The following is a 26663-nucleotide window of genomic DNA, read 5'->3' on the forward strand; positions in this document are numbered from 1 at the left end:
CCTTATGTTGCCCAGGCTGGTCTCAAACTCCTGGACTCAAGGTATCCTCCCACCTCTGACTCCCAAAGTGCTGGGATTATGGGTGTGAGCCACTGTGCCTGGCTCATTTCTACAAATTTATACTACATATACACTTACAAAAGTGGGGGAAAAACACGATTAAGGTTATTAACTGTAGTATTATTTAAAATAGTGAAAGACTGGCAATAATTTAAATATTCACAATAAATGGCTGGTTAGATAAATTAAGACAGACAAAATGATTTATGCAGCCATAGCAATGACACAGAACGTTATGCACTGATATAGAAGGATTTCTAAGACAGAAAAGAAAGCAAAATGTAGAGATAGGTGTATATATATGGTACCATTTATGTAAAAAAGATACACCCGTATTTCATACACATAAATGAGTATGTATATGCTTGAAAAGGTATATAGTATCCCTGAAAGATATAAAATGCAGTTGTAAAAATAATTGCTTCCTATCAGGGCAATGGTTATGGCTGAGATAAAAGTGGAAACAATTTGACTTCACTATGTATCTTTTAAAGTTTGCACCACGTGTTTCATGTGTATATATTACCTATTCAAAACTTAAATATACACAAGCACAGAGCAAACTGTGAATCTGCCTATCTCTAACTAACTCCTCCACCTTGAAAGTCCAGTCTCCAAACAAAATAATATTAAAAACAAAGTTAATTTCTGTTCCTTATCTGCTTAAAATCTTCCAGTGGTTTTGCATCAAACTCAGAGCAAAAGCCTGCCCTCTGACCCCTCGGCCCTCCTTTCTTACTATTCTCCCCTTAACTCACTCTGCCTCTGCTACACTGGCATTTTGGCTGCTCATGGAATAGGTTAGGCACTCTTCTGCCTGTCTTTGCATTTGCTGTTCCAACTGACTGGAATGGCAGCTCACTCCTTCCTGTCCTTTAGGATTCTGCTCAAACATTTCCGTGATGTGTTTGTCGATCATCTCATTTAATACTAACGCGCTCCCACTCCTTATCGTCCTTCCTTGTTTTATTTTCTTTTATAGCACTACCCCGCGTCTGCTGTACTATGTGTTTAAAAGTTTGTTTACTGTTTCTCTCCCTTAATTAGGATGCTCCAAAAAAGAGGGCTTCTGGGGCATACAGTGACACGTGCATGTACTCTATGAGAACAGAAATGAAAATTCCAATACCACTGGTGTTCAAAACACTCATACCACAAGGTCAGGACCAAGAAAAGCCACTCTCCGACCTGATGGTGTGATGGTTATACCACGTCAATAAAATCAGAAGATCGCCTACATCCTAAGAATAGCCAGAGAATACAACGTTCAATTCGAAACTTTTCTTTTGTAAACAGCAGTGGAAACCGGCGTGGGAAGCGCACCGAACACATGCTTCAGAGGCTGGGATCTCGGTCCTGGACGCCCGCGCTCTACGCAGCGCGGAAGCGGCGGGGCAGTCAGCCTAGCCACCTTCGGAACTCTCCACGCCTGATCCCGTTCCCCGGAGCCCGCGGCCGTTACCTTGGTGCCTCCGAGCCGTAACACTTCCTCCAGGGAGAACCCATTCTCGGCTTCACTAGTATTATCCTCATCCTCCTCGTCCGGATCTTCTACTGCCTCCTCGGGGCGCCAAGGCCGCTTGGCATGGAACTCCAAAGGCTCCTTGACTGCGGCCATGGCGGGCAAAGCATACGCGCGTGAAACTCAGCCTATTTCCGCTCTGCCAGTGGCGTAATTCCTGTCGGGGCGTGTCTTCTCCCGGAAATGGTCTAAGCCCCAGCTCCTGGCGGAGCGAGCTAGCCTGCGAATTTCAGCATGAGTGTACTGCTGAGGTCAGGTTTGGGGCCGTTGTGTGCCGTGGCGCGCGCAGGTAAGCGTCAGTCCCCTCGAAGCCCGGTTGCCGTGGAAGCCGCGTGGGGCGCCTTCCTCAGCTCTTCAGTTGAGGGTACCGGGGGATCAAGGGCTCGGGGGCTCACTTCCACCTTGAAGGTACCCTGGGCTGGAAACGGGTCCGGTACAAACGCAATAGGGCTGCGTAGTCGTGGGCAAGTGGGTGCTGTCTCTGCGCCCCGTGGGCGTGCTAAGCACAGTAGCCCGCGGTCTGCGGTGGGGCGAGGTTAAGGGTTCACGAAGCTGTTTTGAAAACGCTCAGGCGGCTTGCGCTCGTGAATGGTCAGATTTATCATGGGGTCTGTTTAATTTGTGTTTTTCGCAGCCATTCCTTTTATTTGGAGAGGGAAATACTTCAGCTCCGGGAATGAGCCTGCAGAAAACCCGGTGACGCCGATGCTGCGGCATCTTATGTACAAAATAAAGTCTACTGGTCCCATCACTGTGGCCGAGTACATGAAGGAGGTGTTGACTAATCCAGCCAAGGTATGGGTCGGGTAGCCCGAGGACTAGGCCCTCTCTAGCCGATTTGCGAGGTGCAAGCCAGGAGGGAGAAGCCCGAAGGTTCTCAGCCCAGGCAGTGGGGGTGCCTGCCAGGGGAAGAGCCATTTCTGAGGACCTGGGGACAGATAATTTGTCAGTTGGTCAGGGCTGGCTCACGTCAGAGGCAGTGCCAGTAAAGAGGAGAGGACACGGTCCAAGGGTGTTTAGGAGACAGAATGTAGCTGATTGGATTTATGATGCGGGAAGGATGACTTTCCTACTTGGCTGATGGTGGGTGGTGTGGATTCATTGCTTTGGGAGAAGGAATACGGGAGGAAGGATGGAGAGTTCAGGCTGGTATATGAATTTGAAGTGTGTGGGACTCTTAGGTAGAAATCTCCAACAGGCAGCTGGAAATAGGAATTACTGCCTGGAAAGTCGTCTGTGTTGGAATGGCTTCAGCTGGCATTGGAGACATGTGCTGGGTTTTCTCACATGTGCAGTTGAGAATGCAGTCTGGGTCGTCTTCACTGTTCTAGGATTAGGCACAGTCACAGCTTTCTGACCCACGTTTCCTTGTCTGTTCTACAGAGCCATTTGGTGAAAGCCTATAGTCCTTTATTTTAGAATATTTCATCTTTTGCTGGGTTGAAATATGACCTCTGTGGAATTCTGGGGTTAGATTGGCCATTGTTGTTGGATATGGTAGTGTGACTCTAGTGTCGAGGTTTACCCAAGGCCGGTATCTTTCTTTCGATGCCGGTTAGGCAGGGCTGCAAGATAGGTGGCTTAGACTAGTGTGGTGGTACTAGAAATAGAAGAGGGTGATTTAGAAAGGGACTGACAGGATTTGCCGATGGATTGAGTGATGGAACGGAGGAATCAAGGCTGATTCGTACTTTTAGCTTGAGCAGTTGGGTGATGATGGTACCTTTTATTGAGATTAAGACAGACAGGACCAGGTTTGGAGGAGTACTAGGGAGAGGGCCTACACCAGGAGCTGCATTTTATACATATTTTGTTAGCAGTGACATGCAGGTGGAGATAGAAAGTAGGCAATTCGCTGTAAGAGTCTGGCGTTCAGGGCCGGACGTGGCGGCTCACGCCTGTAATCCCAGCACTTTGGGAGGCCAAGGCGGGTGGATCACGAGGTCAGGAGTTTGAGACCAGCCTGACCAACTTGGTGAAACCCCGTCTCTATTAAAAATACAAAAATTAGCCGGGCGTGGTGGCTTGTGCCTGTAATCCCAGCTAGTCAGGAGGCAGGAGAATCGCTTGAACCCGGGACGCAGAGGTTGCAGTGAGCCTAGATTTCGCCATTGCACTCCAGCCTGGGCAACAGAGCGAGACTCTGTCTCAAAAAAAAAAAAAAAAAAAGTGAGCCTGGTGTTCAGAAGAAAGACTGGGCAGGCATATATACATTTGCTCGTCATCAGCATATAGGTCATATTTAAAGCCAAGGAACCAGGGAGAACATACTGAGAGAAAGGAAGGTTTCCCAGCATTGAGAGTAGGGGTAACTCTAAAATGTAGAGGCTCTTAACCTAGGGACCCTTTAATAGAAATCAGGGGTTTCATGAAGCTGGATGGAAAAAATATTATACCTTTATTTTCACTAACTTTCAACTGAAATTTAGCATTTCTTCAATTATGAACATACGCAGCAACTAGTAGCATCAGCAATACCTGTGACTTTGTCATCTGTGGAAATCATTGGTATTTCCTTATCACAATACAGTGATCACAGGCATCTCAGGATTTCATCGTGCTCATCCTTACTTCAAAATTTTGTTAATTATTGGGTCTTTGGCTTGATTATGGGCTTTTTTGTTTGTTGGCTTTTTGAGATAGAGTCTCATTCTGTCACCCAGGCTGGAGTGCAGTAGTGCAATCTTGGCTCACTGCAACCTCCACCTTCAAGGTTCAAAGGATTCTTGTGCCTCAGCCTCCCGAGTAGTTGGGATTACAGGTGTATGTTTCCATGCCCAGCTAGGTTTTTTGTATTTTCAATGGAGATCGGGTTTTGCCTTGTTGGCCAGGCTGGTCTTGAACTCCTGGCCTCATATGATCCGCCTGTCTCAGCCTCCTAAAGTGTTGGGATTACAGGTGTGAGCCACTGTGCGCGGCCTAATTATATTTTTTTAATACACTAGTAAAGAAGTGTATATATCACATTTTTTAGAACATTTGATACACATTTTTCAGTTATTTCTTTGTGGTTCTGTGCATTTAAAAACACTCTGTGAAGGGGTCTATAGGCATCACTGGGCTACCACAGTGGTTCATAACACAAAAAAGCGTAAATACCCCAATAATGTTTCCTTATGAACGGAACTAGAAAGCCTAGAAGAAGAGATGTGTGGATTGAAAAAATGTTCTCAAAAATGGGAGTGACTTGATTTATTTTGAATGCTGAAGGGGGAAAGTTGAAGCTGGAAGAGAGAAGGGGACAGCTAAAAGGACTCAGGGGAGTTGTATGAGGAATGGTCCAGAGCACAGGCGGAGGGATTAGGTTTGGATGAGAGGAGAAGGGGAAGGCATTTCATTCTTGGAGTCCCCAGATTAGGTTAGAGGCCAGGTGGGGATGGGAAGCTGAGGAATTCGTATTTTATAACATTCTTTAATTCTGGAGTGAGACTGGGGCCCATGTCACCTGTAGTAAGGTGGTAGAATAGGAGCTTGAGAAGCATAAGAAATATTTAACTCAATTCTTGAGTGTTTCTTGAAGGTTAGGCATCGTGCTAAAACTTGGGATATGAAGATAAATAAGGCATGATCTTCTGCAAACAACTATACTTTGTGGTGAAGAACAGAGACAAATTAGCTCAGAAAAGGTGGCACTGGATTTGGCCTTAGGTTGGAGGGCTGGAGGAGGTCAGCTAGGTGGCATTTGAGCAGATTCGGAGGTTGAGTATAAGACTGCCAGGGAAAGTTGAAAAGGGAGAAGGGTGAGGATTTGCAGTGGCATGGATGTCTGGACAAGCAAGGCTAATAAGAAAAAAAAAAACAACCCTTTTTCTGGAGATATAATATTCATATAGAAAAGTTCATAAACCACAAGTTTACAGCTCAATGAATTTTCACAAAGCAAATGCTCCCATGTAACCAGCACCCAAATCAAGAAACAGAACATCACCAGCAGGCAGGGCCCATATGTGAGGCAGAAAGTGTTAGAATTTGGAGAGGAGGCTGGAGGAGTAGGCAGGGTCTTGCTGTGTTGGGTGTGGGAGCTGGGAGGGGAGGAAGGGTCTGGCGTGCAGAGATGGACGTTACATGACTTCTGCCTTTACGGTCAAGGTGTAATTGTTTTTCTACCGGTTTTGTAAAATGACTGTTACTTTGTAAAATTTGGGTAAAGACACCATATTTCCCTTGCTTATTTATTTATTTATTTATTTATTTATTTTTTGAGATGGAGTCTCACTTTGTCACCTAGGCTGGAGTGCAGTGGCGCGATCTCGGCTTACTGCAAGCTCTGCCTCCGAGGTTCACGCCATTTTCCTGCCTCAGCCTCCCAAATAGCTGGGACTACGGGCACCCTCCACCATGCCCGGCTAATTTTTTTGTATTGTTTTTAGTAGAGATGGGGTTTCACCATGTTAGGCAGGATGGTCTCAATCTCCTGACTTCGTGATCCACCCGTCTCGGCCTCCCAAAGTGCTGGGATTACAGGCATGAGCCACCACACCTGGCTCCCCTTGCTTATTTAGAGGAGAGAACTTTCTTACTAAATAATTATTTCACTTTTACATTATTTAAGATTTTGGAGGGGTATTTTTAAAAGGCTTATTTGAAAATTAATTTTGTTTCTCTATTTTCTCTTTTTACTCAGGGTTATTATGTGTACCGTGACATGCTAGGCGAAAAAGGAGATTTCATTACTTCACCTGAAATAAGTCAAATCTTTGGGGAGGTAATATACTATGTAAAGTATGAATGAAGCTAATATAAACATTTGAGAGCAGATCAAATTGTATTATTCTGTAGTAGTGTTCTACAGCTTTTTTTGTGATTCATCAAAAGTTTTAACTTTATAGTAGTTTATGTACTGAGGGAATAGAGAGGCAGTAGAGGGGAGTAAAATGGTAGAGAGAATATTTGAAAAGTTTATACTCCACTGTAGGAAGGGAAATGGAGAGATAAGAGGGACAAAGAGAAAGAGAAGGAAAGGAGGGGGTCATAAAGAGGACAGAAAAAGGAGAATCAGATGAAGGAAGAGAATGGAAGAAGGGGCCAGGCGTAGTGGCTCACACCTGTAATCCCAGCACTTTGGGAGGCCGAGGCAGGCGGATCACAAGGTCAGGAGATCAAGACCGTCCTGGCTAACACGGTGAAACGCAGTCTCTACTAAAAAAAAAATACAAAAAATTAGCCGAGCGTGGTGGCGGTCGCCTGTAGTCCCAGCTACTTGGGAGGCTGAGGCAGGAGAATGGCGTGAACCCGGGAGGCGGAGCTTGCAGTGAGCCAAGATGGCGCCACTGCACTCCAGCCTCGGCGACTGAGCAAAACTCCGTCTCAAAAAAAAAAAAAGAGAATGGAAGAAGGAAGAGAGACAAAAGGAAAGGCGAGGAAAGAGGTAGAGTGCCCAGGAGAGTGCCCGGGAAGGAAGAGAGAAAAGATAAAGAGCATTGAAGAATTAGTGGAATTAAGAGAAGCTCTAAAGCTCCCAGTCATGATTTTAGCCGTACTTACAGTAAAAGTCTTCTTTTATTTATCTATTTTTTGAGCCAGGGTTTTGCTCTTATTGCCCAGGCTGGAGTGTAGTGGCGCAATCTCGGCTCACTGTAACCTCTGCTTCCCGGGTTCAAGCGATTCTCCTGCCTCAGCCTCCCGAGTAGCTGGGATTACAGGCATGTGCCACCACTCCTGGCTAATTTTGTATTTTTAGTAGAGACAGAGTTTCTCCATGTTGGTCAGGCTGGTCTTGAACTCCCGACCTCAGGTGGTCCACCCGCCTCAGCCTCCCAAAGTGCTGGGATTATAGGCGTGAGCCACCACGCCCAGCCAAGTCTTCCTTTAATAAACAGAATTCTAATTCATTTCCACTAAGTACCTTCTATGAATTTAGAAATAGGAAATAGTGTATACGAGGAAGTAGAATGTGCGTATCGAAAAACATTAGTTATTATAAGAATCATGTAATTGTTTAAATCATATGAATATGAAGAAATGGCATAATCACATTTCATATGTTTATTTGCTTTCAAATACTAATACCTTTCTGCTAGTGATATCCTCTTATCTATGTCATGGGACCTTTTATAGCAGAGGCTGCCTTATTTTTTCCTATTAATCTTCCTAAATGGTGTATGTTATGATGTAGTCCCAGGAAGTTCCTATGTGAACATGTACGTATGTATTGAACAACATACATATGGCTGTACACATTTTGCTTTTTGGCATATAGTGCATATTTATGTGAAATTTTATATTGTGGTATACTTTTATACTTTATAATACTTTAATATGTGTTTTTTTTTTCCCTTTTCACAGCTACTAGGTATATGGTTCATTAGTGAATGGATGGCCACTGGAAAAAGCACAGCTTTCCAGCTGGTGGAACTGGGCCCAGGTAGGGGAACCCTCGTGGGAGATATTTTGAGGGTAGGTAATAAAAGAATGTCTTCTAGTCTCATATAAGTGAATTTTAGTACTTCTGAGTGTGCAAACCATGTTGATTTCATTGGTTTTCAGTTCCTTAATTTCATATTTCTCAGCTAAAATATAATGTCAGAATAATGTAATCAGTCATTACTTACTGTTGTCTGTAAACTTAAAAATTGGAGGGGAGGGGGAGAATATGAAAGCTAAAAATAGGAAACATTTAGAAGACATTATGGGAGAGTGTATTTGTTTCCTCAGGAAGGAAAGTTGTTAATTATATTAAAAGTTTAGGCCAGGCATGGTGGCTCAATCCTAGCACTTTGAGAGGCCAAGGTGGGCAGATCACAAGGTCAGGAGTTCGAGACCAGCCTGACCAACATAGTGAAACCCCGTCTCTAGTAAAAATACAAAAATTAGCTGGGCATGGTGGTGTGCATCTGTAATCCAGCTACTCAGGAGGCTGAGGCAGGGAATCGCTTGAACCCAGGAGGCAGAGGTTGCAGTGATTGCTGCAGTGATTGATTGCAGAGCTGAGATTGCGCCATTGCACTCCAGCCTGGTGACAGAGCGAGACTCCGTCTCAAAAAAAAAAAAAAGTTTAGGCTGGGCAAAGTGGCTCATGCCTGTAATCGTAGCACTTTGGGGGGCCAAGGTGGGAGGATTGCTTGAGGCCAAGAGTTCAAGACCAACCTGGCCAACAAAGCAAGACCTCGTCTCTTTTTATATTAAAAAAAAAAAAAGCAGAAGGCATAAAGCAAAAGATTAATATTTCATTTCTTACATTAAAATTAAAAACTTCTTGCTCTACAAATAAACTAGCAGCTTTTTGTTCTTCAGAGACCCCATTAAGAGAGTGATTAGACAAGCCACAGAGTGGGAGAAGTTATTTGTAACACGTAACCAACAGAGAACTAGTAGTTAGAATTATTTAAATAACTCCTTTAGGTCAGTAAGAAGACAGATAACTTGAGAAAAATCAGGCCAAAGATGTGAACAAGTCCATTCATAAAAGAGGAAAATACAAACGGCTAAAAAAGCAAAAAAAAAAAAAAAAAGATTAGTCACATTGGTAGTCAGGAAGATGAAAATTAAAATCACAATGAGATACTACTGTAACCCTTGCCAGATTAGAAAAAAAAGCTAAAAGTCTGTCAACACCAAGTATTGGTGAAGATGTGGATTTGTGGATCAATGGCAACTCTCATATACTGCTTGTAAAACTATAATTTAGTACATCCTTTTTTCTTTCTCTTTTTTTTTTTTTTTTTTGAGACACAGTCTCACTTTGTCACTCAGGCTGGAGTGCAGTGGTACGATCTTGGCTCACTGCAACCTCTGCCTCCCAGGTTCAGGCGATTCTTGTCCCTCAGCCTCTTGAGTAGCAGGGATAATAGGCGTGGATCACTACACCCGGCTAATTTTTTTATTTTTAGTAGAGAAGGGGTTTTACCATGCTGGCCAGGCTGATCTTGAACTCTTGGCTTGAAGTGGTCCGCCTGCCTCGGCCTCCCAGAGTGCTGGGATTACAGGCATGAGCCCCCGTACCCAGCCTTGTACAACCTTTTTGAAAAGCTATTGGCCATTATCTATTAACATCAAAGTTTCTTATATTGTATGACCCAGCAATTTTACTGCTAGTGATATACCCTAGAGAAACTAGTGTATATGTGTACCAGGAGACACATACAAGAAGATAGCAGCATTGTATAAAATAGCGGAAAATAACAGCACAAATGCCCATCGGGGGGTAAATGAATCAGTTAATTGTGGTATAGTCATACAGTGGAATACGAAGTACTGCAAGAATGCGTGAAATCACAGTGGAATATAACAGTGTTCAACATGAAACAAGATGTGTGAAAGTAGCAGTTTGCAAGAGTTCGTATCATATGATTGTATTTATATAAAATCCAAAAAATAGTCAACATTAAACAATATGTATTTGGTGATAAAAATATATTTAGTAACATTTATAAAGAAAAGTCAGGGTGTTATTAACTCAAGATTCAGAATGGTGGTGACTTCCAAGGGTAGAGGGAGTCCACAGGGGCTTTGGAGATAAGGTCATGTCCCATTTATGGTAGATATTCTCTCTTGTATCATTGTTTCTATCAGTCTACGTACTATTTTATGAAAACATTAAAAAGGAGGACAGTTGTTTATAGTACCTGATAAGTAATAGTATTTATTAAACTTTTGTAGTTTTTAGTATTTTGGAACTCATTAGTGTTTTTGAGTTTATTTTATATGTACTTGACAATTCAATGTAAAAAACAAACATGGCTGGGCGCAGTGGCCCATGCCTGTAATCGCAGCACTTTGGGAGTTCGAGGCTCCCAAAGTTCAAGATCAGCTTGGGCAATACGGTGAAACTCCATCTCTACAAAAAATACAAAAATTACCCAGTCGTGGTAGCATGCGTCTGTGGTCGAAGCTAGTTGAGGGGCTGAGATGGGAGGATTGCTTGAGCCCAGGAGGTTGAGGCTGCAGTGAGCTGTGATTATGCCTCTGAGTAACAAAGTGAGACCCTGTCTCAAAAAAAAAACCAAAAAACACCAACACATACTCAATATAAATTTAAATTTCTTGATGCTTTATGGTTTTTGCTTTAAATTAGAAATTAAAGGATTTAAAAAATATATAAAATATATAAACATATGACAAATAAGAATCTTGATTATTTGGGTGAAGAAAGAAAACAAAATCACGAATTTAAATTTCCAGGGCTCTATTTTATGTTTTTCAGCAAGGTCATTTGAATATAAAATATTTAATAAGGACCTCAAATCATATTCTCTTGTTCAAGTACTTTAAAAGTTGATTCCAGAGCCCTTAAAATGTATGAAGGATGCTTTTCCAGACTGAGTCATAAGAAGTCCTAAAAGCCAAAGAATTTAAAGGGTTGTAAAGCAAATAGCCAGAGAAGTGTCAGACCTGTTTTATTTTTGATGTTACCTTCTGAAGGAATTTCTCCTGGGAAGTTTTTCCATTTGTATTTCGATCTCAAAACTAAATTTGGAAAAATCATCTTGTTCATATTATCAGTCTGGATGTGCATATTCATATCTCAAAAGTATTAATTGGAGGCAGATCACCAGTAGAAATTAAATTCAAATGAAAAATAATGTTGATACACTTTATGCTTTTGCTATTGATTTTTTAGCCTTAAAAGATTGGTAAAATATTAGTATTTTCCTTTTTCCCTTGCATGTTTACAACAGTGAAAAAATGTGTAGCTAAATATAGATTGAAAATGTGGCAGACCCCCGAGTTAAGCAGTCAGGTTTTCAGTACCATTCAGATTTGGTTCTTTGAGGTTAGAGTTCTCATCATCTCAAAGATGAGATTACTTCCTAGACCTAGAGATGTTATCAAATCAAGGCTGTGTACATTTTATTTCCTTGGTCTTTTTTTAGACTCCATAATCTGAATCATTGTTTTTATCAGATGCCAAATCTTTTATTTTCATTTGTTAATCATAATTTATCATTAGGAAACCAAATTGTGCATTGTTCATTTCTTATTTAGATTATGCTTAATAACTAGTAGGTTAGGATTCTTATAGACTGCTGGAGAGTGGCTTGGGTAAGGAACACATCTCTCTGAAATATTACCTCTATTGTGACATGACTAAATCATTGATGTAAATGATTAGGAAACTTAAAACCTACTTAACACATTGTATTTTTTTTTCTTCTTTTGGTATTTAGGTGTTCACTCAACTTGGATCTGTGCTGAAAAATTGTGACATTTCAGTACATCTGGTAGAGGTAAGCCAAAAATTAAGTGAGATTCAAGCATTGACACTGACTAAAGAGAAGGTCCCGTTAGAGCGAAATGCTGGATCCCCAGTGTATATGAAAGGTGTCACTAAGTCTGGGATTCCAATTTCCTGGTACCGAGATCTGCACGATGTTCCAAAAGGTAATTACCTTTATGTGGATTAATGAAAGAATTTTGATCACAACCCTCACAGTATTGATGGGACTGTAACTTTTTACAGCAATATAATAGATTGAGTTACTGCTGCCAAGTCCCTTATCCATAGAGAGTAGCCTACTTTTTTCTAGAAAAGAGCATCTTAATAGAAAATAAAGTTGCCTGACATTAAGTAGTAGTTTATTTCATGAAGCTTTGTAAAATCCCAAACAAAATGTAAATCTCCTTTGTACTTTTGAGTATTTCCCTATAGCTAGGGTTGTACCGATGACGGAGCAGCCCAAGGCAGCTGGGGCTGATGGAAGCAGTGTTAGTAGGTGGGTTTAGTTCAGTTATAGAGTCTTTTAAAAAATCCTTACTTGCCTAAAGACAAGCAAGGTGTGGGGGAAAATCCCTGTACTAGTCAGGAATACTGACTAGTATTGACTAGTTTGAGTCTTGACTCAAAGCCAAAGTGGGGGTACGATCTTGGGTAAGGGATCTCAAGCCATTCCTGCCTCAGCCTTCTCAGGCTGAGAAGCCCGATTTTATGAAATCAAATTCCCTTCCAGCTAACAACTCTGACTTCTAATTTCTTTCAAGCCTTGTGATGAATAAAAGCTTTAACTGCTATTTCAGGTATTTCCATTTTCTGACCCCATTTATGTGTAAAATAAGAATAGTAATAATTGTTCTATGTTCTGCAGTGTAAGTTTTCCATGAAGAGGTAGATAATTCTGTGGTAGTGATGATTATGGAGGAAGTAGGCATTTTTTTTACAGTTAATATTCAAAAGAATTAATTCCTGTGAAATGTGGAAACATTAATTGTTTTCCTCTTTTTAAATAGGGTACAGCTTTTATCTTGCACATGAATTTTTTGATGTTCTTCCTGTGCATAAATTTCAGGTATTGAGGGGGGAAAAAAGTCATGTCTATAATTGAATACAAAAGGCATTGTGTTGCCAATGTTTATGGTATTTATTCAGTATACAAATTTTACTTGTTGAGGTTATTTTTAACTATTATTTGGAATTTTGGTACACAAATAATTCAAAAGCAAAAAATGAAATATTAATGAGAATTGTTAGTTCTCCTGGGATAATTATTAAGAATTCTTAATTCTTCTGATTTGAAGAAGTAAGGGAATGAAAAATGGTAAGATGGTAACTGGCTGTGGTGCAATGAAGGATTTACTTAAGCAAAAAAAAAATTTTCTTTTTTAAGAGATAGGGTATTGCTATGTTGCCCAGGCTGGTCTTGAACTCCAGGGCTCAAGTGTTCATCCTGCCTCAGCATCCCAAGGAGCTGGGACTACAGGTGTGCGCCACTGCACCCAGCCAACCTTAGCACATTTTAAAAAATTATAGATTAAACTTTTTTGGGCCAGGCATGGTGGCTTACACCTGTAATCTCAGCACTTTGGGAGGGCGAGGTGGGTGAATCACTTGAGGTCAGGAGTTCAAGACCAGCCTGGCCAACATGACAAAACCCTGTGTCTACTAAAAATAGAAAAATTATCTGGGCTTGGTGGCACGTGCCTGTACTTCCCAGCTACTAGGGAGGCTGAGGCATGAGAATCACTTGAACCCAGGAGGCAGAGGTTGCAGTGAGCTGAGATTGCACCACTGCACTCCAGCCTGGGCAACAAAGCGAGAGCTTGTCTCAAAAAAAAAATAATAAAACTTTTCTTCATTCTTTCTGTGAGGAGATTTAAGATTTGGTGATAATGTATATGTACTGGTAATTTGTGAGGAGAAGAGCAGCTCTCATGATCCTGTAGTAATTTGTTAGTAAAGCTTCTGGCTGTTCTTCCTGAGTCTATTTCCGTTTTTGGGGTACTTTCCATGCTGCTGATTTTATCTTCCACAGCGTCATCTCTGTTATTGTTTCTTTTGCATCGATTGGTCTACTCATTGTTCAAAGGCAATGAAGTAATGAATTTAAGTAATTTTAAATAGTAAGTTCTCTGTAAATGTTAGTTACTTATGGTAAGAGGAGAAAAAGCTATTTTTGGTAGAAGCAATGTAGAGAACAAACTTGCAAAAATTTGTTTTTATGTGTTATTTTGTGTTTAGAAAACACCACAGGGATGGCGAGAAGTATTTGTTGACATTGATCCACAGGTTTCTGATAAACTGAGGTTTGTTTTGGCACCTTCTGCCACCCCAGCAGAAGCCTTCATACAAGTAAGAATATGCTTTTTTAAGTTTCTTTTATTGCTCACAGAATCTTCAAAGTCTTATTTTCTGAGTTACTACTTTAGAGTTTTAGAGTTCCTTTACAGGAAGAGTTGCTAGTAGCATACGAGGTGCTTTTTATTGACAGTGAAAGTGCAGAGGAGCTAGAGGCAGGAGCATGGGTTAAAATCATTTCTTAAGTGTGTGACCTTAACGTCATGTAGTAAGAGAAAGTAAGTAACCGCTTACTCAGCCAAGTCTCTTACTTTCACTGCTTATCTCAGTTTCATGTCAAATGGTAATGGTATTGTCCACAGGAAGAGTTTACATCTGTGAAAGCAATGTAGTACAGACTATAGTAAATTAACAATAACAGCTAACGTTTGTTGAGTACTTTGTGTTACTCTGTTTTCTCATTTAATTCTCAAAGCAACTATATTAGGTAGGTTCTATTATTATCCTTCTTTGGGCTACAGCATGGCTTTTATCCCATGCTTCCACACAGATCTCAGTTTGATTCGGCCAGAATGGTAGAATTACTACTGCTTTCTGTTGATCTCAAGGAATCATTGCAAGAGCCTGTCTATTGTGGCTTGTTTAAAGGTACAAAAAAATCCCTGTACTTCTCAGGAACGTCCAGGCTTCAGACTGCCTCTTTTTTTTTAATCCTTTTTTTCCAGCTCAGAAGATGATTTTTACTTTCTGGACCTTAACTGAGAACTTCTTACTTAGAAATTATCAGTTTTAAAAGCACAAGAGCTTTTAAACTTAAATGTATGAATTAAGTTTTGTTAAGTATAAATTTAAATGTCAGACTGAACACTTATGAACACCTGTTTTTTCATAGTATAGCAATCTAAGTTTACCTGAATGACATATTCATAGAACTACCAAGAACTAACCTCCTGGCCCTGGGAGTTCATTTAGTTCTTGACCTAATTAGTATTCACTTAGGAAGGGAGGGAGCGAATATTCTCTTTCACTTGAATGAGATGCGTGGTAATACATGTCATCTTGAAGAGTAGCCTAAGATAGAATGTCAGCATGATCAGCGTGTCCACTGATGCCTGATGAGGCTGACTTCATGGTTTTTATAGTTAAGCCACAGTAATTTGATTGCACTATTAGCTAAATGGTTAGTTATATTTAATCCTCACAATAAACCTACAATATCTATAAGGAAGAAAACAACTCAGAAAGTTTAAGTAACTTGTCTACCAGTAAGCATAGGAAGAGCTGAGATTTAACTTCATCTGACTCTATGCCTGTTACCATAGGCAGACATCAGGGCAGGTCATTACTGCATTTCTATAATAAGGTGTTAGGAAGGAGTACAAGTTAATGTATGTTTTCATAATGAAGGGAAAGAAATACCACATTTTCAATCAGATCAGGAAGTAGTGAAATTTCATATATACTAGTCAGGTTGACAAGTGTTAATACTTAGTGTGATTTTGCTTTTTAAGCTAGTACACACTTATTGTGGCCCCTTAGTTAAGTGGACATCTTGGGGTAATAACGGTTTCAATACATTGGCACTAGTTTATAAGCCAGCGTTTCTTGATGTAGGGCATATCATTGGGATACTTTCTGGCACAACAGAGGGCATGATAATATAATTGTCTAATAGGGTCTGCTTCGTGTTATTGGATTTATACCATTTGTTCTTTCAGCACAATATTTTCATTGACTGTTATGTGCCTGGCACTGTTCTAGGCAGACAAAAAAAATCCCTTTCCCATGCTTTCAACCTAGAGGAATGTGTTTATATGATTTGTGATACAAAAGTAATTTTACATTAAATGATAATGCTCTAGGCCATCTGGGGGGATTGGGAGGGCATTTGCCTTTTTATAAAAGAGATTAAAATGTCTTTGTATATCAAGTGGGATAGCATCAAAGAACTAAGGAGTTTTGTATAATAAAAAGGGAGTCAGGTGAAAAGTTGAGTGTAGAGAACATACTCATATTAAGAATTTATTTTTATTAAAACTAAGAAATGCTCATTGAGGAAAAACCTGAAAAACCGTAAGGAAGTCATTCTTTTGAATGATGCATTTTGACTCTTGCAATGATCCCTTTACTAGCATGACGAAACAAGGGATCATGTTGAAGTGTGTCCTGATGCTGGTGTTATCATCGAGGAACTTTCTCAACGCATTGCATTAACTGGAGGTGCTGCACTGGTTGCTGATTATGGTCATGATGGAACAAAGACAGATACCTTCAGAGTATGTATAATTCAGTAACATGATTTATCAGAATTTCAGTGTTAGATCTGAAGCCCATTGAAGAGCTTTGATTTCTACAGTGCCTGGTATTGTTGTATTACATTATTTTATAGTTAACATTAATTCATGTTATTGTAATTCCCCTTAACCCTAGTTCTTACTGCTAACACTGAGTCTACTGTCCAGCCCTCCTTTAACAGGATCTGAATTGTGTACATTCTTCCTTAGTTGTAGAACCTATGTTTATATAAATCCAGATAAGCAGCTGAATAATACAAATGGAAAGATTTTCTTCACATTCTTAAACCTATCTGTAACCCCCTTCATTCAAGAAAAATTTTGGTACTTCTTTACAGATTTAAACTACCTACTGTAATCATTCTAGCTTTTTCTATCATATTTTCAACATTTTTTCCCTTTCCAGATGTATTCTTTTACACTGTTCCTAAACATCCTTTCTTAATGATCTTTGAATATAATCAATTCTATTCAATATACTTTAATTGAAAAACATTTAACTAAATGCTCTTAGTCATTTTCTAGGTCTGTGGTTCTTAATTTCTAACTTTATCTAAAAATAACCTGGATAGTTTGTTGAAAATACTCATTCTCTAGCCTTACCTCCAGGATTCTGACTGACCAGGTCTGGTTAGGGTCAGTAATATATTCTCAGGTGATTTTTTTTTAAGTAATTTCAACTTTTATTTTAGATTTAGGGGGTACATGAGGCAGGTTTGTTATTTGTTACATGGGTATATTGCATTGACTCTGAGGTTTGGGGTACGAGTGAGCCTGTCACCCAGGTGGCAAGCATAGTACTCAGTAGATAGATTTTCAGCCCTTGTTCCCCTCCTCCTGTCTCCCCTCTAGTAGTCACCAGTGTTTGTTCCCATAAGTATGTTCACGTGTACCCAGTGTTTAGCTCTAAGTGAGATGTACATGTGGTATTTGGTTTTGTCCCTGCATTAATTCACTTAGGATAATGGCCTCCAGCTATGTCTACGTTGCTGAAAAGGACGTGATTTCATTTTTTTTTATGGCTGTGTAGTAGTTTGTAGTGTATCTCAGGTGATTCTGATGCATGGTTGATGCATATACTTTGTAAAACACTGCCTAGGTGTTCCCTGCCTAGAGAATTAATGAGAGCTCTATTCCGTCACCTCAAGCATTAATGTAAATATTAAATAACTTTAATATGATAGCATTTCTTTAATCTTAATAACCATAAAAGGGCAAAAATCTGATTTCTTTATGTTCAAGGGGTTTTGCGACCACAAGCTTCATGATGTCTTAATTGCCCCAGGAACAGCAGATCTAACAGCTGATGTGGACTTCAGTTATTTGCGAAGAATGGCACAGGGAAAAGTAGCCTCTCTGGGCCCAATAAAACAACACACATTTTTAAAAAATATGGGTATTGATGTCCGGCTGAAGGTAAGGTTTATTTTATTTCACTGTTATTAAGTACTTTCATAGTATTTCAAAAATTACTTTAAATAGTATGTTCACCTGGCCTTAATGCTCTTGTAGTTAGCCAATCCTTGGTATTCCAGTCTTTTCAGGTAGTATAGGATTTAGTAACTAGTCTGGTAAGTTTTATGCATCTCCATGGGAGGTAGCATTAAGACTTCCAAATAGTGTTTTTGTTTGTTAAGAAAACTGCGTTTATGGGTATGAATTTTCTAACTGTTCTTCTGAGAACACCTAAACCTTACTGTAGATCAAACCCCCTGAGGATATTTGTTAAAAATGCAAATCCTTAGGTTTGTTTCACACCAATCTACATTTTTAATAAGTACTCTATGATTCTCAGGCAGGTAATCAGAAGTCACATTTTGAGTGCTGTTTTATTGGAATATTTGAGAGTCATTAGTATTGCTGCATGTAACTAGGAATCCTGTCTTCTGGTTATTTTTGCTAAGAATTTTTTTCTTTTCAGGTTCTTTTAGATAAATCAAATGAGCCATCAGTGAGGCAGCAGTTACTTCAAGGATATGATATGTTAATGAATCCAAAGAAGATGGGAGAGAGATTTAACTTTTTTGCCTTGCTACCTCATCAGAGACTTCAAGGTGGAAGATATCAGAGGAATGCACGTCAGTCAAAACCCTTTGCATCCGTTGTAGCTGGGTTTAGTGAACTTGCTTGGCAGTGATATTTCAGCTTGGACATTTTACCCTTCAGTCGGCCCAAGAAATCAAAATAAAGGAAACACATTTCATATACTGCAGGTAACAAAAGTCAAAGTATTTTATCTTTTCACAGCAAGAACAGTCCATGTTGTATATAATACAACCAACATTATAGAACTTTTAGGGTTGTGACTGGCTTTGGTGCAAATGTGTGCTCAAGCTAATAAGTTATTGTGAAACTGAGTTTCCTTTAACTTACAAAGCTAGTTGCCATATTTCTATTTTATTTTAAAAAGTAAACATGCGGCTGGGCGTGGTGGCTCATGCCTGTAATCCCAGCACTTTGGGAGGCTGAGGTGGGCATATCACCTGAGGTCAGCAGTTAAAGACCAGCCTGACCAAAATGGAGAAACCCCATCTCTACTAAAAATACAAAACTAGCCGGGTATGGTGGTACATGCCTGTAATCCCAGCTACTCAGGAGGCTGAGACAGGAGAATCACTTGAACCTGGGAGGTGGAGGTTGCGGTGAGCTGAGATCGTGCCACTGCACTCCAGCCTGGGCAACAAGAGCAAAAATCCCTCTCAAAAAAAAAAGTAAACATGGGCACTGATTGTTTTAATAAAAATGGGAAACAGACTAAATGGCTATTCACAGGAAACTGATAAGATATATGTTATTTTTTTAAATGAGCTAGGGCAATATGTTTTGACAGAAAACTCTCTAAGATTTAGTAAGTGAAAAAAAGTAGGATGCAAGAGTTTTTATAGTTGATTCCATTTTTGTTGAAGGAGAAAAACTAAATAAATACGAGTAATTTCATAGAAACGAATACACTAGTGTACACTGGTTGTTTTCTGTGATATGTACTTGCATACAAAGTAAGGAATGAATGCACAATTTTCCCAATTTGGAAGTGACTTTGAGGGGCAGGGTGTGGCTGGGTATTTGAATTTCTTACATTGTGCATCTGTGCATTTTTTAAAAAATTATGAAGGTCACAGTAAGAAACAGTAAATCTTGACATGTAGTTCAAATATGAGTTGGAGACCAGCCTGGCCAACATGGTGAAACCCCATTTCTACTAAAAATACAAAAATTAGCCTGGTGTGGTGGTGGGCGCCTGTAATCCTAGCTACTCACGAGGCTGAGGTAGGATAATCGCTTGAACCCGGGAGGCGGAGGTTGCAGTGAGGGGAGATTGCTCCGTTGCACTCTAGCCTGTGATAGACACACACACACACACACACACACACACACACACACACACACACAGAGGGGAGATCGCTCCGTTGCACTGTAGCCTGTGATAGAGACACACACACACACACACACACACACACACACACAGCCTAGGAGGAATAATTTTCAGATAAATGTCAAATTTTAGTTCTGTATTATGTTTTCATTTTTTGGTTGTTAGAAGCTGTGTGTTAATACTGGAAACAAAGAGTTAGAGAATTATTAATTAGCAACACAGATTTACAAGGGAGATTAAAGGGAAAGAATACTTTCCCTTGATGTCTTGAATTTACGGCTTAACTGTATCAGAAGTTCATTGGCAGTGATGAACTGTTGCTTTTTATTGCTGCTTCTGCTTGACAGGAGTAGCATTCTGTCCACACTACATGGCCATGTCATGTAGCCTTTGAATGTGGACCAACACAAATATGTAAGCTTTCTTAAAACATTATGAGATTTTTTTTTGCAATTTTTTTTTCAAGCTCATTAGCTATCATTAGTGGTGGTGTATTTTATGTGTGGCACAAGACAGTTCTTCCAATGTGGCTAGGACCTAAAAGATTAGACACCCCTGCACTAAAGTAAAGGAAGACGGAGGCCTTGCTTTTCAGATGCTGCCCAGCCTCGGGCCACTCCTAGTTGTTCTCATTCTAGATTCCTGTATTTGTTTTCTTTTTTCAAAGACTTGGTTGGGAGAATTTTTGAAAGATGAGTTAAACGTCCATAGTTGGCTCCTCTCAGATATGTTAAAGTTTTTATAATTAAGGGGCTAGAGTCAGGCAATGCCTTATATCTTAACACCTAGAAAGTTTGATATTAGGTTTTTAACTTTTTAAAGCCTTCTGGTAGTATAACAGTTGGATAATTTGGTGGTAGTTTCTGAAAAAGTTATACTTTACAAGAAATGAGACCTCCAGATAATCAACTCAAATTTAGTAGAAAATTATAAAATGAGCTTTTTTTTATTTTTGGCAGGTTAAAAAAAAATCAGTGTTTTTAAATATAGCATTAGTTCCATTTACAAATACTGTTTCCAAAATAGTTCTTTTACCAAGGTCTGGTAAAATAACACAACCAGGTCAAACTTTTCTTTGGATACTTATACTAGAAATAGGCTCAGGTTTTCACATGGAAAAGTATGGTGATAGGAAATACATTTTATTATCAAGCTTCCAGTATATTTACAAAAAGTTGGATATAACCAAAAAAATATTAAAAATGTACTGAACAGTCATTATAGACTACTTTGTACATTATCAAATGTTTCTAGCAATTACTTCTTTTACAAACACGACTTAAAGACAAAAAGTTATGCAGGTTATACAGTATCTGGAATAATCATTCAACTCCAGATTCTCTGACAGTGCCTTTACAAAATTTTTAGAAAACTTCTTAGGCATTTAACAACAAATACAAAGAGTGCAATTAATTTCATGGCTTGTAAAGTTTGACTATGTAAGTATAGCAAACAAACATCGTTCCAGTTAATTTTCACCTTACATAGTAAAACCACAGTAGATTGATTGCCTAGTGACTCAGAATTATTCCATTTTGTGTGTGTTGATATAAACAGACTTTGGTGAAACTGGGAAGTCATCCTCTATCACAGGGAAAATAACATTTCTAAAAAAAAATTTTTTTTGAAAATTAATTTGATTTAATCTTTGAAGCTTCTATAGAAGGACAAATTACCAAGAGGGGAATGTTTCCTGGAGGTATTTATGGGTAGATAGTACAGCATAATGGTTGGGAGGGCTAAGGGTAAGATTAGAGCCATACTACTGGTCTCAAATACTACTAACTGTTTGAAATTTGGCAGTAAGTTAATCTCCCCTTGCCTCAGTTTTCTTATCTTTAAGATGAAGCTCATAATGACTTAACACTATGGCTGCTGTGAGGGTAAACTAAAACATAAAAGAACTTAGAACACAGGAGTACTGCATACTGTTTGCTACTATTCTTTCAAGGATATTTTTAGTCTAGACAGGAGACTAGCTTCAGGGATGTCGAAAGGCCTTCTCAGTCTGTTCATGTACCAGAACATTCTTTTTTTTTTTTGCTACCTCAAATTCGGTGGGCAACGATAGTTAACACTTTCCTAGTTTTTAGTTTATTTGACTGCATTCATACATATCTGATCTTCACGACAACACTGTGACAAAGGGAGAGGCAAGAATGATAATCTTCATTTTACAGACTGAGGAACTGCCGACAGACCTGCCATCTGTCCAGGCCAACATAACTAACAAGTAGTGGAGTCCAAGACCTCAGCAAAAGTTTTGTTCTTTTACTTTTGTTAGAGTGGAGAAGAAAAAAAAAAAGGTTTACAATGATTACTGAGAAATGAAGAAATAAGCCACTGTTTCTTACAAGTAGATGGTCCCACATCTTAAACTTTGGGGAAGATATTTAAAAATATTTTTTAAATAGCTGGCTGCTGGAGCTGAAATGTAAAAAGAAGTACTTCTTTCATTCTTTAATTTGCTGTGCTGATAATACAGCCCCAGCCTTATAAACTGTTTCATGCTCCACTCCTACACATCCCCTCAAACTGCTTAAAATAATTGACTTTAAAACACTCCAGATATCTGCAAAGCCCAATAGGCTAGGGGAAGGAGAAAAAAGGATACTGTTTGCTATACAGTAACTGTAGCATTAACTGACCCTGCACTGGCCCTGCTAAAAAGCAGAAATTACTGACTGAACCCTAGGTAAAGATAAATTGTGTAAAGCCGAGATCTGCACCTGCTGAATGCTGGAATCCAGTACTGGCATCAAGATGGTGTCAGTCAGAACATGCATATTTAGCAGCAGAGTGGAGCTATGCAAAGACATACAACTCAGCACTTAGACCAGCAGTACTCTTCCTTTTGTAACATCATTTGTCCCTAATTATCTTAGAAGCTGTTGCAACACACAGAAGGTGACAATCCTTATGCTGTATAGAACATATTCAGAGTAGCAGAGCAACTCCAAAAAGGTTAGGAATCACTATTTTGGAGTCTTGATTGACCTAAAAAAGAAAGGTAAAACAGCCCAGTGCGCTTTTTCTAGGCATCTAAGAAAAACCCTTCAATGCCTCTATGGTTTGTTAAACCAATGTTAAAAGTCCTTATAGTAACATCACATAATGGTAACCTCACAGTTACCTCTTAAATACAAGCCTGTCGAGTAATCAATCTTGTAAGTCTTGTATAATTTAGCCAAGCTATATAGTAACTGGATGCTAGCTTGACTTGTTTTTCATTAAAAAAACAAACAAACATATATTTATATTTATATATATATATATAAAGAGAAATGGGAAGACAAATTAAGTGAGCCTATTGTATTAAAGTGAAGGATTAAGAAAAAATACAAAACCAGTTATTGCTTAGGCTAAAAAAGTTTATAAAAAGCTTCACCTTGATTCCATTATGACTTCTTATTATTCAGTTTCCCGCCTGTACCTACTCATTATGAACTACAGTACTGGTGTCACTTATTCGTTATCATATTTCTTCATATCTTTGCAGCACTGCAGATGACAATCTACAAAGAACAAGTTACACAGCAAAATATCAGTCCATAAAATGAAATCCTTCCTTATTTAGGTTAGCTCAGTGATTAAGGATCTTCTTCCATATCATCTGGATTAGGAGCCATAATGAAGTGCTTTGGGTATACAAGGTTATGTGTGTATGCATGTATTTCCCAGCGAGCATCATCACTTTCATGTGTAATGTAACGTTCTCCAATGCGAGTTTCAAATTCTCTAAGGTCAAGCCAAGTCTGATAGTCCTAGGAGAAAATGAAATTGTAATGATGAAACAAAAGAAACAAAATACTGTCAACCTGGTTTTTGTTTTGTGTTTTTTTTTGTTGTTGTTTAGTGCCCTAGTCAAATAATTGACAGGCGCTACTCATAAGTATCTACTATGTACTAAGTTCTACTTGTGATATTTTAAATGAGCAATTTAAAGAAATTTTTCAAACTCAGAGTCTCCAATGAATGAACGTAACTAATTTCTGAAATTAAAAAAAATTTGCTTCAGGCTTCTTAGGTGGCTAATAATAATCACTAAAACATTTTGTTCTATACAACGTGAGGCCTAAACCTTACTCAAAGTGGGGGAAAGTGCTTGGATGCTTATTAGGATAATTTAGTAACTGGTAGATGAGATTACATTTGTTTTAAAGCTAATTCTGCCTCTCACTCCCTATAAAATAGTTCTAAAGCTTCCCTCCTTACTCTGAAGTTTGGAGGGTATCTTTTGATAAATCTATAAAGTAACTTTGGGAGAATTAAGCCAAACATTTTTAAAAAATCTCTTCAATGCAAAAATAAATCCTTCAGTAGACATTTAAAATAAATTTGATAAATTAATATGTCATACTAATCTTACAAAAAGGTGAAATGAACACATAGGTCTATGAAAGGCTAAGTCATTGCTTTCAGTTCATGGGAGTTTAATTGCCTGTCATTACCGATCTGAATGCTGTATGGTTTCCAGAGATTCAGCCATAGTACAAATTAATCACTTAAGAGCACTTTTATTATTCTGCTGATCTTAGAGTGGTCTCATTAGGTGGGACAAATCAGAGTGAACTACTCAAATGAGGATTGCCAAAGAGAGATTACATTTTTTTTTACCTGTAGCCAGGGATGACTAAGAGATTTGTCAACACTGTAACGTTTTCTCATCTTCACTTGAAGCAGATTGTTTATCAGATCAATTGCTAAGGGAAAAGACAAAACAAGATACATGAATTTGGGTGCACAGAGTACCCCAAACTTGTGACTGCCTAGAAGGCAGTTCAACCCATAGAAATACAGGGTTGAGGAATTTTTGCTTCTCAAGGACGTGGACTTTTAGCTAACATGTAAAATGAATCATAAATGTTTACTGATTTAAGTGTATCTGTCAAATTTTCATTGCCTTTATAAGGCAGTATAGAGTACAGGTTAAAGTATATACTCTGGAACCTGACTGCCTGGGCTGAAGTCTGGTTCTGCCACCTACTAGCTGTGTGATACTGGGTCAGTTACTAAATTATATTATGCCTCAGTTTCCTCATGAAGTTGCTGACATATGTTAAGGGCTTAGAACAGTGCTTAGCACATAAGTGCTAAGTATTAACTATTATTATTTGAAGATGAATGAAACAGACTCTCTGATCCTCCCCACCCCGCTCCAATGCTAGAGAGCACTCTAGTCCCTGACTTGGTCTGGAAAGGCACTGCCTTGCCTCTATATATGGTCACATTGAGGTGGTAGCTTAACTACCAAAAGTTTACACTTTTAACAAATAGGTTTCAGGGTGTTTTAGTGTACATGGTGAGTTCTTGGTATATATATTTTATTCACTTATTTGGAGAATGATCAATTGCAAAACCAAGGCAACCAATAACTACATACTAACTACAGCCCTATATAATGGTACATTTGAAATATTGGTAACAAAAGGCTAGACCCAGACACGAACCAAATGGAAAGACTTGTACCATCCTAGTTCTATTTCTTGTCTCTATACTACCAAACTAGCAAAGTGATTCTGATAGAAGAGGTCTACAGAACACACTGCCTCAGGAGGTCTGAGATAACACTGGTTAACATCAAAAAACATCTCTTATGAGCTTCTTCAATTAGCTTTCTTCATTACCAAGCAAACCTGCTACTGTCTTCACATGTTGTTCTTAAACTTTTCCCAGTTTGATGGAATATTAGTTAATCCTATGATTAGGCCTAGTACTTTTGGAAAAACAAAAAAGATCTACCTATTACATGGGCTGGTTAAATCCAGATGGGGGTATTCCCCAGCACTGGTTCTATTAACTTCTATGGGGCAGTTAAATAATGTTTTAAGTAGTGTACTTGTCCTTCCTATCAGTATCAGCAGACTAAAGAGGGCCAGCCAACTTATTCTTGACGGGTACAGAACCAGGAGTTGCAAATTCAAAAGCCTTCACTAGGCAGGAAAAAGAGATGTATGCAGCTTCCCAGCAGAGGTCCACAGGAGAGAGGAAAACAAACTGCAGTGTGTCTGGTGATTATAAAGTTCATTCTAGGTATAAGGAACCGGAGCTAGGTATTCATTCACGGAGCTCACAGTCTTGTTCTGAAGATTAGAAAAGTCAATTATGAAAAGAATGAATACTTAAGAAAAAAATGGGGCTGGGTGCAGTGGCTCATGCCTGTAATCCCAGCACTTTGGGAGGTCAAGTTGGGAAGATCAATTGAGTGCAAGAGTTTGACACCAGCCTGGGCAACATAGTGGGACCCCATCTCTACAAAAAATTTAAAAATTAGCCAGGTGTGGGTGGCCCATGGTGCATACCCATCATCCCACCTAGTCAGGAGGCTGAGGTGGGAGGATCACTTGAGCCCAGGAAGTCGAGGCTGCAGTGAGCTGTGTTTGTGCACACTTCAGCCTGGGTGACAGAGGGAGACCCCGTCTCAATAAAAATAAAAAAAGATAATAAAAAAGCCCAAATGTTTTTTAGCCTAAGTAAATTCTGCAGTGTAGAGGAGTAGTCAGGGAACTTTATAGATGAGCCACAAATTAAGGGGTCCTCGAATTTTAATAGGAAGGATTGTAGACAAGGGAAAAACAGTCCCAAGCAAATTGCAGAAAACAGTTCAGAAGAGTAAACAACTAGGTTTGTGTAGGGAGTAGTGGGAGATGAGGCTAGAAGGTAAGCATGGACCATATCACAGATAACTATGCCTGTAAGGTGGTTAAAGAGAAGTGTTTGGGAGCACCATAAATGAAAGTAATGTTTCCTGAAGATAGATTTGGCAGTAGTGACTAGGAAGGACCAGAAAAGAGTTTAACAGGTAAGACAGTTAAAAAGATATTTTAGTGGTTTGACAATGAGGCCACTGGGGCCTATGTAAGTGCTATGCCTGGGAACTATACAGAAGACACAGATAAAAGTATAAAAAGAAGAGTGCTCAAAAAACTGGTAACTAGTTGAATTTGGAAGATGAATGGGAGATGT

The 26663-nt window shown here is 39.2% G+C and overlaps 3 protein-coding genes across 28 annotated transcripts in view, besides 2 other annotated features; 1 reads left to right on the forward strand and 2 right to left on the reverse strand.

Moving 5' to 3' along the window:
- CEBPZ (CCAAT enhancer binding protein zeta) overlaps positions 1-1707 on the reverse strand; it is a 29985-nt gene extending 28278 nt beyond the window's left edge. The window contains exon 1 of the mRNA NM_005760.3: positions 1523-1707. Coding sequence (NP_005751.2) covers positions 1523-1678 — 156 coding nt within the window. The 5' untranslated portion in view covers positions 1679-1707. The remainder of the gene's footprint in view (positions 1-1522) is intronic.
- Positions 1052-2251: an enhancer, noted in NCBI's record as "CDK7 strongly-dependent group 2 enhancer chr2:37458084-37459283 (GRCh37/hg19 assembly coordinates)". NCBI's record gives its function as "activates an origin of replication core promoter dependent on BRD2, BRD4, P300/CBP, MED14 and CDK7 cofactors, with strong dependence on CDK7, by STARR-seq in HCT116 cells {active_cell/tissue: HCT116}" and the evidence as "EXISTENCE:reporter gene assay evidence [ECO:0000049][PMID:35650434]".
- Positions 1209-1658: an enhancer, noted in NCBI's record as "active region_15581". NCBI's record gives its function as "activates an Ori minimal core promoter by ATAC-STARR-seq in GM12878 lymphoblastoid cells {active_cell/tissue: GM12878}" and the evidence as "EXISTENCE:reporter gene assay evidence [ECO:0000049][PMID:35858748]".
- Positions 1769-26663, forward strand: part of NDUFAF7 (NADH:ubiquinone oxidoreductase complex assembly factor 7) — a 39708-nt gene continuing 14813 nt past the window's right edge. For 2 of the 19 annotated variants that reach the window (NR_146402.2, NR_146409.3), the window contains exons 1-10: positions 1769-1871; positions 2217-2377; positions 6207-6287; positions 7868-7978; positions 11689-11902; positions 12746-12804; positions 13974-14084; positions 16163-16306; positions 17567-17740; positions 18246-18537. Coding sequence is in view for 7 of the 19 variants with exons in the window: in NM_144736.5 (NP_653337.1) it covers positions 1817-1871; positions 2217-2377; positions 6207-6287; positions 7868-7978; positions 11689-11902; positions 12746-12804; positions 13974-14084; positions 16163-16306; positions 17567-17740; positions 18246-18461 (1326 nt within the window). In the remaining 12 variants the exon portion in view is untranslated. Of the gene's footprint in view, positions 1872-1943; positions 1991-2216; positions 2378-6206; positions 6288-7867; positions 7979-11688; positions 12536-12745; positions 12805-13973; positions 14085-16162; positions 16307-17566; positions 17741-18245; positions 19272-23196; positions 26577-26663 lie in introns of those variants that run through there. The other 17 variants (NR_146405.2, XR_007077548.1, NR_146406.2 and 14 more) reach the window with 16 other exon arrangements.
- The window catches only part of PRKD3 (protein kinase D3), a 74332-nt gene continuing 68281 nt past the window's right edge, over positions 20613-26663 (reverse strand). For all 8 annotated transcript variants that reach the window (XM_005264238.4, NM_005813.6, XM_047443853.1 and 5 more), the window contains 2 exons: positions 24315-24400; positions 20613-23461 (listed from right to left, as the gene is read on the reverse strand). In XM_005264238.4, coding sequence (XP_005264295.1) covers positions 23288-23461; positions 24315-24400 — 260 coding nt within the window. In that variant the 3' untranslated portion in view covers positions 20613-23287. The remainder of the gene's footprint in view (positions 23462-24314; positions 24401-26663) is intronic.

This window comes from Homo sapiens, chromosome 2, assembly GCF_000001405.40.
Source record: "Homo sapiens chromosome 2, GRCh38.p14 Primary Assembly".
In the NCBI taxonomy this organism is placed as follows: Eukaryota; Metazoa; Chordata; class Mammalia; order Primates; family Hominidae; genus Homo; species Homo sapiens.